The sequence below is a fragment of the Homo sapiens genome, chromosome 16 (assembly GCF_000001405.40).
Source record: "Homo sapiens chromosome 16, GRCh38.p14 Primary Assembly".
Lineage (NCBI taxonomy): Eukaryota > Metazoa > Chordata > Mammalia > Primates > Hominidae > Homo > Homo sapiens.
Genome location: NC_000016.10, coordinates 84,387,200 through 84,404,753, shown reverse-complemented (window position 1 = coordinate 84,404,753; position 17,554 = coordinate 84,387,200). Strand labels below are relative to the sequence as shown.

Here is a 17,554-nt window from a genome sequence, read left to right as displayed (position 1 = left end):
AAAAATTAAAAAGGGAGCTACCAGATCCAGCAATTCCACTTTGGGGTATATACCCAAAGGAACTGCTAGTGGGGCTCCAAGAGATGTTTGTACAACCATGTTCGTAGCACTGTTCACAAAAGCAAAAAGGAGGAAACAACCCACCAATCTTTCAAGGGATGAATGAATGCATGAAACATGGTGTACACACACAATGAAATACTATTTAGCCTGAGAACGAAAGAAAATGCTGACACGTGCTACAACATGGATACACCTTTAAGTTGAACCTTGAGGATGAAGTTAAGTGAAATAAACCAGTCACAAAAAGACAAATTCTGTTGATTCCACATATGAATTACATAGACTAGTCAAATTCATAGAGACAGAAAGTAGAATGGTGGGTGTCAGAGGCTGGAGGGAGAGGGAATGGGGAGTGAGTGTTTAATGGAGACAGATTCAGTTTTACAAGATGAAAAGAATACTGGAGATGCTAATGTAACCCGCTTTGCTGACTGTGGGTCTTAAGACCCTCCCATGAGAGGGTCCCACCCTATAATCTGGGGGAAGGAATGATGTCATGAAGCTTCCCTAAAAACCCAAAGATAGGATTCAGTGAGTTTTCACGTACCTGAACGTGGGGATATTCCTGGAGAGTGGCATCCAGGGAGATGTTTGAACAACCATGTTCATAGCAGCATTGGGCATGGAAGCCCTGCGCCCCTTCCCCCATTACCTGCCCTATGCGTCTCTTCATCGGTATCCTTTGCCTTTATAATAAACTGGTAGGGCTTGGTGGCTCAGGCTTGTAATCCCAGCGCTTTGGGAGGCCAAGGCAGGCAGATCACCTGAGGTCGGGAGTTCGAGAGCAGCCTTGTCAACATGGCAAAAGCCCGTCTCTACTAAAAATACAAGAATTAGCCGGGCGTGGTGGCATGTGCCTGTAATCCCAGCCACTCAGGAGGCTGAGGCAGGAGAATCGCTTGAAGCTGGGAGGCGGAGGTTGCAGTGAGCTGAGATCGCGCCATTGCACTCCAGCCTGGGCAACAAGAAGGAAACTCCATCTCAAGAAAAAAAAAAAGAATTCTGGAGATAGAGAATGGCGATGGTTGTGCAACAGTGTGACTATACTTAATGCAACTACAATGTACACTTCAAAATGGTTAAGGCCAGGCACAGTGACTCATACCTGTAATCCCAAAACTTCAGGAGGTTGAGGTGGGGAGATTGCTTGAACCCAGGAGTTCAAGGCTAGTCTGGGCAATATAGCATGATCTTGGCTCTACAAAAAAATTTTAAAAATTAGCCCATTGTGGTGGCAGACTCCTGTAGTCTCAGCTACTCAGGAGGCTGAGGCAGGACGATTGCTTAAGCCCAGGAGGTGGAGGCTGCACTGGCCCTTGATTGCAGCACTGGACTCGAGCCTGGGCAACAGAATGAGACCATGTCTTGGAAAAAATAACAAGGTTAAGATGGTAAATTTTATGTTGTGTATTTACCACATATCAGACATTTTTTTAAATAGGCCTGTCTTAAGAAACAAGAGTATTTTTTTTTAAAGGTAAACAAAACTGACAAACCTTTAGCCAGGCTAAGAAAAAAAGAGAGAAGAACCAAATAAATACAAACAGAAATGAAAAAGGAAACTTCACAAATTATATCACAGAAAGTCAAAGGGCCATTAGTGGCTACCAGGAGCAACTATATGCCAATAAATTGGAAAATATAGAAGAAATGGATAAATTCCTAGACACACAGAACCTACCAAGATGGAACCATGAAGAAATCCAAAAGCTGAATAGACCAATAACAAGTAATAAGATCAAAGCCATAATAAAAAGTCTTCCGGTTAGGAAAAGCCCAGGACCCAGTGGCTTCACTGCTGAATTCTACCAAACACTCGAAGAAGCGATACCAATCCTACTAAATAATTCCAAAAAACAGATGAGTAGGGAATACTTTCATTCTACGAGGCCAGTATTACCCTGATACCAAAACCAGACAAAGACACATTTAAAAAAGAAAACTACTGGCCAATATCACTGATGACTATTGATGCAAAAATCCTCAGCAAAATACAAGCAAATTGAATGCAATAACACATTAAAATGAAAATTCATCATGACCAAAAGGAATTTATCCCAAGGGTGCAAGGATGGTTCACCATACACAAATTAATGTGACACATCAACAGAATGAAAGACAAAAACCATATGATCATTTCAATTAATGCTGAAAAAACGTGACAGAATTCAACATCTCTTCATAATAAAAACCCTAAAAAAACTAGGTATAGAAGGAACATGTCTCAATGTAATAAAAGCCATATATGACAGACCCAGGGCTAGTGTCATATTGAATGATGAAAAACTGAAAGCTTTTCCCGTAGGATACCCACTTTTACCACTACTATTCAACAGAATACTGTAAGTTCTAGCTAGAGCAATCAGACAAGAGTAAAAAATAAAGGGCATCCAAATTGGAAAGGAAGAAGTCAAATTATTCTTGTTTGCAGATGATATGATCTTATATCTGAAAAAACCTAAAGACTCCACCTAAAGCTATTAGAACTCATAAACAAAATCAGTAAAGTTAGAGGATACAAACTCAAATGATAAAGATCAGTAGCATTGCTATATGCTAAGAGAAAGCAATCTGCAAAAGAAATCAATTAAGTAATCCCATTTACCACAGCTGCAAATTAAATATCTAGGAATTAACTTAAAGAAGTAAAAGATCTCTACAATGAAAACTATAAAACATTGATGCAAGAAACTGAAGAAGACACAGAAAAATGGAAAGATATTCCATGTTCATGGGTTGGAAAAATCAATATTGTTAAAATGTCCATACTACCCAAAGCAATCTATAGATTTAATCGAATCCCTATTAAAATAACAATGACATTCTTAACAGAAATAGAAAAAACAATTTAAAAATTTATATGGAACCACAAAAGACCCAGAATAGCCAAAGCTATCTTAAGGAAAAAGAACAACACTGGAGGAATCATATTACCTGACTTTAAATTATACTGCAGAGCTTTAGTAACCAAAACAGCATGGTACTGTCATAAAAACAGACACAGAGATCAGTGAAACAGAATAGAGAACCCAGATATAAATCCATACATCTACAGTGAACTCGTTTTCGACAAAGATGTCAAGAACATCCACTGGGGAAAGGGCAATCTCTTTAATAAATGGTACCAGGAAAACAAAATCTCCATATGCAGGAGAGTGAAATTTCACCCCATCTCTCATTATCAATAAAAATCAAATAAAAATGAATTAAAGATGAGGTGGACAGATTACCTGAGGTCAGGAGTTCGAGATCAGCCTGGTCAACATGGCAAAACCCCAGCTCTACCAAGAATACAAAAATTAGCTGGATGTGGTTGTGCATGCCTGTAATCCCAGCTACTACAGGAGGCTGAGGCAGGAGAATTGCTTGAACCCAGGAGGCAGAGGTTGCAGTGAGCTGAGATAGCGCCACCGCACTCCAGCCTGGGCAACAGAGTGAGACCCTGTCTCAAAAAAAAAAAAAAAAAAAGATTAAAGACTTCAATCTAAGATCACAGACTATGAAACTATCAAGAGAACATCGGGGAAACTCTCCAGGACATTGAACTGGGCAAAGATTTCTTGAGTAATATACTACAAGCACAGGCAACCAAAGCAAAAATGGATAAATGGAATCACATCAAGTTAAAAGGCTTCTGCACAGCAAAGGAAATCATCAACAAAGTGAAGAGACAACCCACAGAATGGAAGAAAATATTTGCAAACTACCCATCTGACACGGGATTAATAACCAGAATGTATAAAGAGCTCAAACAACTCTATAGGAGAAAACCTAATAATCTGTTTTTAAAATGGGCCAAAGATCTGGATAGACATTCCTCAAAAGAAGACATATGAATGGCAAACAGGTACATGAAAAGGTGCTCACCATCTGTGATCAGAGAAATGCAAATCAAAACTACAATGAGGTATCATCTCATCACAGTTAAAATGGCTTTTATCCAAAAGTCAGGCAATAACAAATCCTGGATATGAAGAAAAGGGAACCCTTGTACACTGTTGGTAGGAATGTAAATTAGTATGACTGGTGAACAGTTTGGAGGGTTCCTCAAAAAACTAAAAATACGCTGGGCGCGGTGGCTCATGCCTGTAATCCCAGCACTTTGGGAGGCTGAGGCAGGCAGATCATGAGGTCAGGAGATCGAGACCATCCTGGCTAACACGGTGAAACCCCGTCTCTACTAAAAATACAAAAAAATTAGCCAGGCATGGTGGCAGGCGCCTGTAGTCCCAGCTACTCAGGAGGCTGAGACAGAAGAATGGCGTGAACCCAGGAGGCGGAGCTTGCAGTGAGCAGAGATCGCGCCACCGCACTCCAGCTTGGGTGACAGAGTGAGACTCCATCTCAAAAAAAAAAAACAACAAAAAACTAAAAATACAACTATTATATGATCCCCAGTCCCACTCCTAGATACATAACCAAAAGAAAGGAAATCAGAATATTGAAGAGATATCTGCACTCCCATGTTTATCGCAGGAGTATTCACAATAGCCAAGGTTTGGAAGGAGCCTAAGTATCCATCAACAGACAAATGAATAAAGAAAATGTGGTACATATACACAATGGAGTACTATGCACCCATAAAAAAGAATGAGATCCTGTCATTTGCAACAACATGGATGGAACTGGAGGTCATTATATTAAGTCAAATAACATAGTGACCTCCAGACACAGAAAGGCAAACTTTGCAGGTTCTCGCTGATTAGTGGAAGCTAAAAATTAAAATAACTGAACTCATGGAGATAGTAGGATGGTTACCAGGGCCTGGAAAGGGTAGTTGGGAGAAAGTGGAGAGGGCTATGGGTACAAAAAATATAGTCAGAAAGAATAAATAAGACCTAGTATTTGCTGGCATGACAGGGCGACTGTTGTCAAAAATAATTTAATTGTACATTTTAAAATAACTCAAAGAGTGTAAGTGGATGACTTGTAACACAAAGGATAAATGCTTGAGGTAATGGAGACCCCGTTTGCCCTGATGTGATTATTATAGCGTATGCCTGTATCAAAGTATCTCTGGAACCCATAAATATGCACCTACTATGTACCCACAAAAATTAAAAATAAAAAAGAAACAGTAGCTAAAACAATTATATTGTGCCCAACTCCATTCAAGCTCTTTCTGTAAACAAATTCGTTAAATACAGCTAATTTATGAGTCAGTCATAATGGAAGGAAACTTTGTTGTTCTGGTCGCAACAAAAGTGTCCTTGTTTTTAAAAAGCCAATAACAAGAAAACTGTACTTGCTGGTAGAGGAAACGGGGAGAACAGAATTGATTTCTAGATTCTTTTGAATAGTGAAAGAAAATCTAGCTCATTTTCTAGCTAGGGATAATATGCAGGCAGAGAAGAAATACTTCCTCCCCCTCTCCAAATACTAATACACAGGACTTGAATTGAAACAGACTTGAGTTATTCTCAAGAAAAGACACTAGCTTCCAACTTCCTGAAATTGTAGTATGTGCCCTTTTCCTGGGGGCTTTTTATTTGCTTTCCCAAAATGTAGTGGTTCTGAGTATGCACGTGCACGCACGTGTGCACACACACACACTTGTGTGCAATGCAAATGTTTGTCTTGCACTGGCCAGGAATTAATTCAAACTCACTTGAGAAACTTGGGAGAATTTGGTTTTAGTACCTGGCAACTCCACGGATTATAAAAGACGACGGTGGGAATACCGGATGACCAAGAGTTTGGGCTTTCATGTGAAACAGCTGGACTCCACGCTGGGCTGTGCTACCTCTAACACTGGACTGTGCTACTTTCTGTGTCTCAACTTCATCTTCCATCCCTTTATGTTTTTGCCAAGAAATGTGAGGCTGAAGAGAAGCAGCGTACACAGAGTGTCTCAAAGGACGCCGTCTTCCGGTAAGGGCCTGGTGAAGACGAGCTCTACTGACAAGTACTGATATTCTACCTGTGGAATCTGAACCATTCAACATCAACAATATTTTCCAACCTTGATGATAAAATTGATAATAACACAGAATTTCAAAGCACTGTTCAGGGCTTTGTGTTGCTTTCTTTTAAACATAAAACCTTATCACAATTAGCTCCAGATGCAAATTCAATTCTTACACAAAACGCTCTGGCCAAATCCTCTTTCTGGCATTTGCACGCTTCCTTGGGGGGCAGGGCTGTCACCTTCTTCTCTTTCTCGATGGCTTTCAGCTCACTCTGTTCATCAATCTGTGAAAAGAGCAGGGTTGCTGTTTAGCGGATTGAACTTTTGTACTGATTAATTTTTAAATTTATTTTTTATTTTTATTAGTTTATTTTTTTGAGATGGAGTCTCACTCTGTCACCCAGGCTGGAGTGCAGTGTCATGATCTCAGCTCACCACAACCTCCACTTACCGGGTTCAAGAGATTCTTCTGTCTCAGCCTCCCGAGTAGCTGGGATTACAGGTACGCATCACCACACCCCACTAAATTTTTTTGGTATTTTTAGTAGAGACGAGGTTTCACCATGTTGGCCAGGTTGGTCTCAAACTCCTGACCTCAGGTGATCCGCTTGCCTCGGCCTCCCAAAGTGCTGGGATTAAAGGTGGAGCCACTGCGCCCGGCCACATGTGTTTTTTTTAAAGCATAAAACACACACACACAGTGTGCATATGTGTACAGCTCACAAACTAACCCTTATAACCAGCCCCCAAATTAAGAAACAGATATGACTGGTCCCCTGATGCTCCCTTGGCCAACCTACCTACCTGAGGGGTAACTGCTGTCATGGTTTCAATCCTCATAGATTAGGTTGGCCAGGGTTTGAACTTTATGGAAATGGTGCCATGCAGTATACACTCATACATGCTTTCTTGTCTGATTTCTTTCACTCAACATTGTTAGTGAGATTTATACAAGTGAGAATGCATGTAGCAACAGTACGCTAATTTTCACAGCAGCTTAGTATTCCACTGTATGAGTAGATCACATTGTATTTGTTCTCCTGTTGATGAATATCTGGGTTCCAGTTGTTAGTTGTTGGCTAATACTGATGCATCTATTTTTAAGCAAGTTTTTTTTTTTTTTTTTTGTCACCCAGGCTGGAGTGCAGTGGTGCAATCATAGCTCACTGCAGCCTCAACCTCCCAGGCTCAGGTGATCCTCCTGCTTCAGCCTCCTGAATAGCAGGACCACAGGTGCATGCTATTGTGCCTGGCTAATTTTTTAATATTTTGTAGGGACAGGGTCTCCCTATGTTGCCCAGGCTGAGCGAACTTATTTTACAGAATTGAAACTTGTAAGTGGACAGAGTAGGGCAACAATATACATATGTAGAATCCTGAACCTCGAACTTCCAGGATTCTCCATCAAGTATGCACCATATTGCAGAGAGTGCCTCCTACTGATGATAGGTGGTATCACAGCCTGGTTCTATGGGACATTTTAAATAACCAAAGAAAAGGGGAGGGGAAACACAACCAAGTTCTGGAAGTCCCAGCACTCTGTGTTGAGACCTGCGGGCCTGGAAAGAAGCCACGTGAAACACCTGGAGGCTTCGGGAGGCTTTGCTAATACAAAGGAGACCTCAGAAGCGGAAAAGTGTGAGGTATTTTTGCAAAACCATTCCTAGCATCCTGATACCCAGGATGTGATAATCATCTTTTCCTTTTCCACCAGGTTACTGGAAACTGGGAAAAAGGAAGCAGGAGAGGTATTGAGTAACTTCCTCCTTTAGCTGTAATAGAGATTGCAAATCCCACTCTTCCTTCTTGACAGCCGCCCTCCCCAACCCCAAACCATCTCCTCCCAAATGCCTATTTGCTTAGAAAAGCTGTGCTACCCACCTCGGTTTCATGCGGCTGCTTCTCACTCATGCCCAGTGCCCAGGAGCACAGCAGCGATTACGCAGATCTTTAAGCAGGCTTAGCCATCCATTGGGAGCCCTCCTTAAGTCAACATTGCATTCTTTGTAGAGTTACTTCAAAGAAAAATGTGGATTGCACAAGACTTTTCCCCCCATTCTCAAGATCTGCTCCCGTCGTACCAAATAAAGTGCTTGATTCTTGCGCACACCACAGGTGGAGGCAGGCTGGGCACTCCCCCCATCCCCCACACTCACTCAGCTGCCCTCAGCCTTGCCATTTGTGACTCACTACACCGAATTCACTTTTCCTTTTTTTTTTTTTTTTTTTTTTTGAGATAGAGCCTCACTCTGTCACCCAGGCTGGAGTGCAGTGGTGCGACCTCGGCTCACTACAACCTCCTCCTCCCGGGTTCAAGCGAGTCTCCTGCCTCACCCTCCCCAGTAGCTGGGACTACAGGCACGCACCGCCACGCCTCACTAATTTGTTTTTGTATTTTTAGTAGAGACGGGTTTTCACCAGGTTGGCCAGGCTGGTCTCAAATTTCTGACCTCAGGTGATCTGCCTGCCTCAGCCTCCAAAAGTGCTGAGATTACAGGCGTGAGCCACTGCACCTGGCTCGAAACACATAAATCCCATCTCACACACACACACACACACGCCCGATGCTTGAAAACACTTGCAGAGATTCCAGTGCTCTCAGGATAAGAGCCCAATTACCTTCAATGTGACTGCCCAAAACCCACACATGCTACAACATGGATGAACCTTGAAGATGTTATGCCTGGTGAAATAAGCCAGACCCGAAAGGACAAATCCTATAGGACTCCAGTTACAGGAGGTCCCTAAAATAGTCAAACTCACAGAGACAGAAAGGAGAGCAGAGGTAACCGGGCTGGGGAGTTAGTGTTTAATGACTACAGAGTCTCTTTGGGAAAGATGAGAGTTTTGGAGGCAAATATTGGTGATGGTTGCATAACAATGGGAATATACTTAATGCCAGAGAGCCATACCCTTAAAAATGGTTAAAATGGTGAATTTTATGTTATGTATATTTTACCACAATAAAAATCCAGAAGAAAAGGGCCAGACACAGTGGCTCATACCTATAATCCCAGCACTTTGGGAAGCTGAGGCAGGCAGATCATCTAAAGTCAGGAGTTCGAGACCAGCCTGGCCAACATGGTATTTTGTAAAAATACAAAAATTAGCCAGGCATGGTGGCAGGCATCTGTAATCTCAGCGACTCTGGAGGCTGAGTCAGGGAGAATTGCTTGAACCTGGAAGGCGGAGGTTGCAATGAGCCAGAGTCAGGGAGAATTGCTTGAACCTGGAAGGCGGAGGTTGCAATGAGCCAAGATCATGCCACTGCACTCCAGCCTGGGCAACAGAGTGAGACTCTGTCTCAAAAAAAAAAAAAAGATCAAAGGCACCAATTCCCCTGCCTTTGAGGGCAGGACTAGCATGTGCCCCCAACCTTTGTCACGTGCTCTGGACATCTGAAGGCCCAGGGCTGTCCACCCACATGTCCCTGGGGAATGAGCTAGGTGGATTGAGGAAGTCATGGGGTGACAGGGTGCCATGCTGCAGTGACACTGGAGGGGAGAGGGGGTTGGATGCAGAGACCTCCCTCACTCCCCTGTGTTTTGTGACTGCAGGGGCAGAGTCCAGAGCCCAAAGGAGAGAGGACCCAGCCTCCGACTTCCCTCTGTGAGTAAAAGCCACCTACACACTCCCAGCTCTGTAACCAAGGGTACTGGAAACAGGGACTCTGCTCACAGCAGCACAGTTCACGAGACCCAAAAGTCAGACACTGCCCGATGCCCATCCACGGATTATGGAGAAGCAAAATGTGGTCCATCCAGACAGTGGAGCATCAACTCAGCCTCAAACAGGAATGCAATACTGACGCACGTGAATGTTGTTAAACTGTGGCCTCTGCAAAACCATTCTTTGAAAGCCTAACACCTGGTACACCAGAATGTGACTTTATCTGGAGGGCATCTTTACAGAAATGATCAAGGTCAGATGAGGTCAAATATGAGCGATGTTCTTGCAAAAAGGAGAATTTTGCAGAGATAAACATGCACACAGGGAAGTCCATGTGGAGACACAGGAGAAAACCCTGTGATGATGGAGGCAGAGGCTGGAGTGACGTGTCCATCGGTCAATGAATGCTGGGGATTGCTGGCCATGATGGAAGCTTGAAGAGAAGCGTGGAACAGATCCTCCCCTGGAGCCTCCAGAGAGAGCACAGCCCTCCTGACTCCTTGAGTTTTGACTTCTGGCTTCTAGAACTGTGAGACAATACATTTAAATTTAAGCCACCACATTTTTGGTACTCGGTGACCATAGCCCTGGGAAACACACTTGCTACAACACAGATGAACCTGGAAGACATCACACTAAGCGGAAGAAGCCAGACACAAAAGGCCACACGGTATGTGAGTCCACTCATAGGAAAGGCCCGGGACAGGCAAATTCGTAGGAGCAGAAAGCAGACTGGGACTGGGGAAGGGGGAATGGGGAGAAACTGCTAATGGGTACAGGGTTTCTTTCAAATGTTTCAGAACTGAATAGAAGTGGTGGTCACACGACATTGTGAGTGTACTAGATCCCATTACAATGTTTACTGTGAGATGGTTGATTTTGTTATGTGAATTTCACCTCAATAAAATAAGAATTTTGTTTTTCGTTTTTGAGGCAGAGTCTTGCTCTGTTGCTCAGGCTGGAGTGCAGTGGTGTGATCTTGGTGCACTGCAACCTCCGCCTCCCAGGCTCAAGCAATTTGATTCTCCCACCTCAGCCTCCTGAGAAGCTAGGACTACAGGTGTGTGTCATCACACCAGGCCTTTTTATTTTTTATTTTTTTATTTTTTTTGGTATTTTTAATTGAGACAAGGTTTTGCCATGTTGCCCAGGCTGGTCTTGAACCCCTGGACTCAAGTGATCCACCTGCCTCGGCCCCCTACAGTGCTAAGATTACAGGTGTGAGCCACCATGCCTAGCCTTTTTGTTTTTTTAAAGCCATTTACAAGCTACAGGCAGGAACTCCGTCCACCACTTAGAAACCGTCCTCCTGACTCTCTCCTGGGTCCCACCTGTGTCGGTCACAGCCCCCTCCACCCCCACTCCCCCCACACCCATAGCCTCCCATCCACTGGCCTCCCATCCTCTATCCTCCTCCCCTCTTTGCTGGCTCCTCCCATAAACATCTCAGCATGGGTTTCCACTTTAAACATAACCTCTTTTCTGGGCCTTGCATTGGAAATACACCTGCTCCTTCCTCATTTGCCAACATCGAGCTTTTAGAAGGAGTGTCTATACTTGCTGTCTCTATCTTTTCATTTCCTATCCACTTCTCAACCGACTTCAGCCAGATCTCCAGGTCATTTCGGTGTTTCAAGGCCACCGGGACATAGCCCTGGACCCAATACATTGTAAGTGAGGGCTTGCTCTGCCTCAGTCCAGTCTCGTGACAGTCAGGAAACAGAGTCCCTGGGTTGGTGACTGAGCTCGTGGACGCTGCCACTCCTCGCCCTGCATTTGGGAGACTCCTACCTGGGATGCTTACCTGGGCACCCCCCTCATCTCCTTAAGAATGCATAGGGGCCCGGGGGCCTAATCTGCCCCGGGTTGATTCCAATCACACAGCTCCATAATCTAAATGGCACTTAATGTATCCTTTGTTGAAAACAGGATTGTCCACTCTGTTTCCAGAAACTACAGACTCTGGTACGGCCCCCATCCCTCTACCCAACCCCAAACACACACTCACTTCTTCTCTCCAAGTGGGCCCGTGCCCGCTGCTGATCAGGACATTGCCATGACCCAGAATGGCCCACCTTGAAGCTGAGGCACTCAAAAACTGGAAACAAACTCAGGGTAAATCGTGAGGAAGGTTGATCAGCCATGATGCACCTACGCTGTCAGGCAGCCAAACACATCTCCTGAGTTGCACCAAGCCTCCATTCTAGGCCCACCCACCAGTTGACAGGAAATACTGGAGATAATAGACACGTTGAATGACACCATGGGGACATGATCACTAGACTGTGGGAACTGTAGGACACACAGCCCGGCCTCCCCAGCATGTAAACTACAACAAAAACACAAGAATGGGCCGGGCGCAGTGGCTCACGCCCGTAATCCCAGCACTTTGAGAGGCCAAGGCAGGCAGATCACCTGAAGTCAGCAGTTCGAGACCAGCCTTGTCAACATGGTGAAAGCCCATCTCTACTAAAAATATAAGAATTAGCCGGGCGTGGTGGCGGGCACCTGTAATCCCAGCTACTCAGGAGGCTAAGGTAGGAGAATCACTTGAACTCAGGAGGCAGAGGTTGCAGTGAGCTGAGATCACGCCACTGCACTCCAGCCTGGGCAACAAGAGCAGAATTCCATCTCAAAACGAAAAACACAAGGATGAAACGTGCAGACGCAGAGAACCATCAGAGACCCCAGCCAAGTGCAGGCTGGGACCTCACTTGAGTCCTGATTTGAATAAACCAGCGTGAAGCAGTGTTTAGGAGCCCAAGGGAACCTCAATATTGGCCAATATTTGATTTTCTCTAATTGTTAATATTTTATGATATGATAATGGTAATTGTGATATTTTAAAGAGTTCTTCTCTTTAGCCATAGATATGCAGAAATATTTATAGATGAAATGCTAGGAAGCCTGAGATTTGTGTCAAAACAATCTGGGGTAGACAGGAGTCAAGATTGGCTCCCCTCATTGGCACTGGGTAACAGAGTCATGTGGGCTCATTCCATTATTCTGTCTATTTCTGCATATGATTGGAATTCTCCAATACAAAATACAAAATTAAATAGTATAAAATTAAAGAGAAAAGAGGTGTTATATGATTTGACCTAAGGAGACGTCACTGATATGTCATCAAATTAAAAAAAAAACCTTTTGCAGAACAATCGTCGTAATATAATCCTAGTTTTGTTTTAAAAAAAAAAAGAGGAAGGAAGGAAAGATGAAGGGAGGGGAGGGAACGGGAGTCACATAAAAGAACTTGGAAACAGTTTCAATTCAACTTTGTGTGTGAGTTTCCCATGGCTGCTTGGTCTCCACGGCTGTAACAAACAACCAACACAAACTCGGTGGCTTAAAACAACCGAAATTTGTTCTCTCAGTTCTGGAAGCTAAAACTCTGAAACCAAGATGCTGGCAGGGCCACGTTCCCATTGAACCCTGCAGGCAAGATCTTTTCTTCCTCTCCCAGTTTCTGGCGGTGGCTGACAATCTTCCGCGTTCTTGGCATGTGTACGTATCACAGCAGTCTCTGCCTCTGCCAGCACATGGCTATATTCCCAAGCGTCTCTGTCTGCTTTTCTTATAAAGACCCCAGTCATTGGGTTAGGGCCCACACAACTCCAGTGTGACCTCATTTTAATTTGACTGCATGGATAAAGACCCTATTTGCAAATAAGGTTGCATTCACAGGTACCAGGGGTTAGGGCTTCAACATGTTTTTGGGAGGACACGCCTTGACCATAACAGCATGTATGTGCGTCCACAGAAGATGCGAGAGATGGCAGTAGCTGCCCCGGGGCTGTGGGGCTGAAGGGTCCGAGGCTGTAGCTTCTTGTTACTTTGTAGACATCAGTCCACTGTGAATCGCAAGTGTTCCTTTTGTAATGAGAGTGGCGCATCCTGGTAAAGGTCAGAGAGTGTCCCTAATTCTCCCTCTCCATCACAGGTGATTTAGGCAGAACCAAACCTTCCCTTCTTCTTCTTCTTTTTTTTTTTTTTTTTTTTTGAGTCTGAGTCTCACTCTGTCACCCAGGCTGGAGTGCAGCAGTGTGATCTCGGCTCACTGCAACCTCTGCCCCCAGGGCTCAAGCCATTCTCCTGCCTCACCCACTCGAGTAGCTGGGATTACAGGTGCCCACCACCACGCCGGGCTAATTTTTGTATTTTTAGTAGAGACGGGGTTTGAACATGTTGGCCGGGCTGGTCTCAAACTCCTGACCTCAGGTGATCCGCCCACCTCGGCCTCCCAAAGTACTGGGATTACAGGCGTGAGCCACCGCGCCCGGCCCCCTTTTCTTTTGTGTTTCCCTTTTTAAAGCTTTTTATAAGATGAAATCCACATAACAAAAAATTAACTGTTTTAGAGCATGCAGTTCAGTGCATCTAGTACCTTTGCAATGTTGTGCAGGCACCACGTGGAGCTCATCCCCAAACACTTTCACCGCCCGCCAGAGGAAAATCCTGTGCCCAGGAAGCAGGCACTCCCCACGCCCTTTCCAGCCTCCGGAACGACTCATCTGCTTCCTGTCTCTATGGACGTCACGGTCCCGCCTACTTCACATCCATCTTCTGTGTCTGTGCCTCCTTTGGAACCCCCAAGATGTTATTTGCCTGCTGCAGATAGACCCACGCGGGCGACGGTGAGCGCAGCCTCCCTAGCCCCAAGGAAACGGCCTAGAAGAGAAAGGTTTCCAAGAGAAGCTGCACCCAACAAGCGCAGCTCAGGACTGACGTTTAACCTACCAGAGGCTCCCGAGGGGACCACGAAGTGCACGTATGGCCCTTGCTGAAAGGTGAGTTGGAGCTGTGAGCTCACTCCAGAGCAAGGGAGCCAGCGGCACCTCCGGGCGAACAGCCTCCCTCAGTCCAGCCCCGCTGTGGCGCCCTCCCGTCCAGCCCCGGGATTCGGTTCATTGCGAACTTGGACTGCGTTAGACCCTAATGATCTTCCCTGTTAGAGGGCTTATGCAGACATGCATTGCTTCAACATATTTGACCAAAGCCTAGCCCGTGCCTCAGTTTCCTCCCCTGGAATGTGGGGGGCTAAGGGTATAACAGCCGGGGTCCACAGGGCTGCCGTGGGATAAAGGAAAGTGAGACTGGACATGGTGGCTCAGGCCTGTAATCCCAGCACTTTGGGAGACTGAGGTGGGTGGATCATTAGAGGTCAGGAGTTCGAAAGCAGCCTGGCCAACATGGTGAAACCCTGTCTCTACTAAAAATACAAAAAAGTTAGCCAAACGTGATAGCACATGCCTGTAGTCCCAGCTACTCGGGAGGCTGAGGCAGGAGAACTGCTTGGACCCAGGAGGCAGAGGTTGAAGTGAGCGGAGATAGCGCCACCGTACTCCAGCCTGGGTGACAGAGCTAAACTCCATCTCAAAAAAAAAAAAAAAAAAGGAAACAGTGAGAGTGAAGTTCCCAGCACAGAGCCCAGCACCAGGGAGCACTGAGGGCCTTAGGGTGACAGCGGTGACCAGAGGTGGGGACAGCAGGAGTCCTCGTCCTTAGAGGACACCAAGGGGCCCGAAGAGGGCTGCCGCGTTTAAGAAACGAAAATACAGATGCCAGTTACCTTTGCACTCCAGATAAACACCAGATGATTTTCCAGTATACACGAGTACCGCATGGGACAAGCGTGCACTTATTGTTTGAAATTCAACCATGACTGTGTGTCATGTGTAAATCTGACGACACCAGAGGCATGAACAAGCCGAGAGATGCTCAAAACTCGCGTGGTGGTCACGCCCTCCTGGGGTGCAGCTAACAACGAAGGAGATGGGCGGGCCCCAGTGCAGATCGCGGGGAATCTAGAAAGGCACCCAGGAATTGTGAGAAAGCAGTTGAGAGAGGTACTGGAATGAGGGGCCTTCTGGGCTGAGGGAAGAACAGGCATGAAGGTGCTGAGAAGAACAAGAAAACGGCTCATGTGGGAATCCCAAATGCCTTAGGTTGTGGAAAGCACTTGGCCCCTGGGGGTTTCAGAGAAAGAGAAGAGGCAGAGAAAGAACCCTGGGCCTAGTGAATCCTCCAGCCCCAATCCTTCAAGAATTTCACAATATAGGCCGGGCGCGGTGGCTCATGCCTGTAATCCCAGCACTTTGGGTGGATCACGAGGTCAAGAGATTGAGACCATCCTGGGTAACATGGTGAAACCCCATCTCTACTAAAAATACAAAAATTAGCCGAGCATGGTGGCGCCCACCTGTAGCCCCAGCTACTCAGGAGGCTGAGGCAGGAGAATCGCTTGAACCCAGGAGGCGGAGGTAGCAGTGAGCCAAGATTGCACCACTGCACTCTAGCCTGGCAACAGAGCGAGACTCCATCTCAAAAAACAAAAACAGAAATAAAACAAAACAAAAAAAGAATTTCACAATATAGGGCACGTAATTATTGGGATCGATGCCTTTGGAGAGAATCAATGCAAGAGTCAGAATGACACAAGAACAAAACAATCGAGTGGGCTTCCTGACAAGGGTGACATTGGAGACACACACCCAAATAAGCCACACTCAGGCAGATGCTTCCTTCTTTCCAAGGCTTCTCTATCCTTCTCTCCCAAGGCACAGATCTGGGTATTCTCTAGTTTTATCTTATTCCAGGATTCTCAGAGTATGGGCCTCAGGCCAGCATCACCTGGAAATTGTTAGAAATGCAGAAACTCAGGCCCTACCCTGGGCCTACTACCTCAGAAGCCCTAGGGGTGGGCAGACAGTCTGTGTTCCAGCAAGTTCTGTAGAGGACTCTGACTGATGTGTTCAAAGGTTGATACTAGTTTTTCTTTCTTTTTTTTTTGAGACAGAGTCTCGCTCTTTCACCCAGGCTGCAGTGCAGTGGCGTGATCTCGGCTCACTGCAACCTCTGCCTCCCGGGTTCAAGCCATTCTCTTGCCTCAGTCTCCCGAGTAGCTAGAGTTACAGGTACCTGCCACCATGCCCAGCTAATTTTTGTATTTTTAGTAGAGACAGGATTTCACCATTTGGCCAGGCTGGTCTCCTGACCTCAGGTGATCTACCCACCTCGGCCTCCCAAAGTGCTGGGATGACAGGCGTGAGCCACTGCACCTGCCTGGCCAAAAGTTGCTGCTGGTTCTTACAAAAACACACCTGCTGTGGGCTCACCCGAGACCAGCAGATGAGTGAGGCCATCAGGGCTCCACAAGCCCCCAGGTGCTTCTATTAAAAAAAAAAAAATAGGCATGGGATCTCACTATGTCACCCAGGCTGGCTGGCCTTGGACTCCTGGGCTCAAGCAATCCTACCACCTCAGCTTCCCAAAGTGCTGGGATTACAGGCATCAGCCACCACACCCAGTCCCCCAGGCGATTCTAATATTCTAAAATGTACCCAGAGCTGTCTGAGAAGGGCTGTCTTGGGAGACGCACTCAAGGGCCAACCCAGCAAAGTCTTATTCTTGAGGGGCCGCAACCTTGGAGAAGTGAATAGGCTGTGAGCTTCACTGGTGCATTTCCATGAATAACTGCCACTCATTCTCTTTTGTTGCTCTATAGTATTCTAAGTACGCTGCTTCATGGCTATGCCACAGTTTATTTAAGTACGTGCACATGGCTGGCATTTTGTGTCCAGTTTGATCTTTCTTGTTTTTTTTGAGACAGAGTCTCACTCTGTCGCCCAGGCTGGAGTGCAATGGCGCAATCTCGGCTCACTGCAACCTCCGCCTCCCTGGTTCAAGTGATTCTCCTGCCTCAGCCTCCTGAGTGGCTGGGATTACAGGCACCTGCCATCATGCCTGGCTAATTTTTGTAGAGACGGGTTTCACCATGTTGGTCAGGCTGGTCTTGAATTCCTGAGTTTAGGTGATCCACTCGCCTGGGCCTCCCAACGCGCTGGGATTACAGGCACGAGCCACCGCACCTGGCCCAGTTTGGGCTTTTATATAGGACACTGCTGTGACCATTCA

General features: G+C 45.8%; 1 protein-coding gene across 4 annotated transcripts in view; it reads right to left on the bottom strand.

Moving 5' to 3' along the window:
* Positions 1–17,554, bottom strand: part of ATP2C2 (ATPase secretory pathway Ca2+ transporting 2) — a 95,650-nt gene that overhangs the window by 59,434 nt on the left and 18,662 nt on the right. For 2 of the 4 annotated variants that reach the window (NM_001286527.3, NM_014861.4), the window contains exon 2: positions 6,145–6,255. In NM_001286527.3, coding sequence (NP_001273456.2) covers positions 6,145–6,255 — 111 coding nt within the window. Of the gene's footprint in view, positions 1–6,144; positions 6,256–7,852; positions 8,133–17,554 lie in introns of those variants that run through there. The other 2 variants (XM_011523486.3, XM_047434994.1) reach the window with 2 other exon arrangements.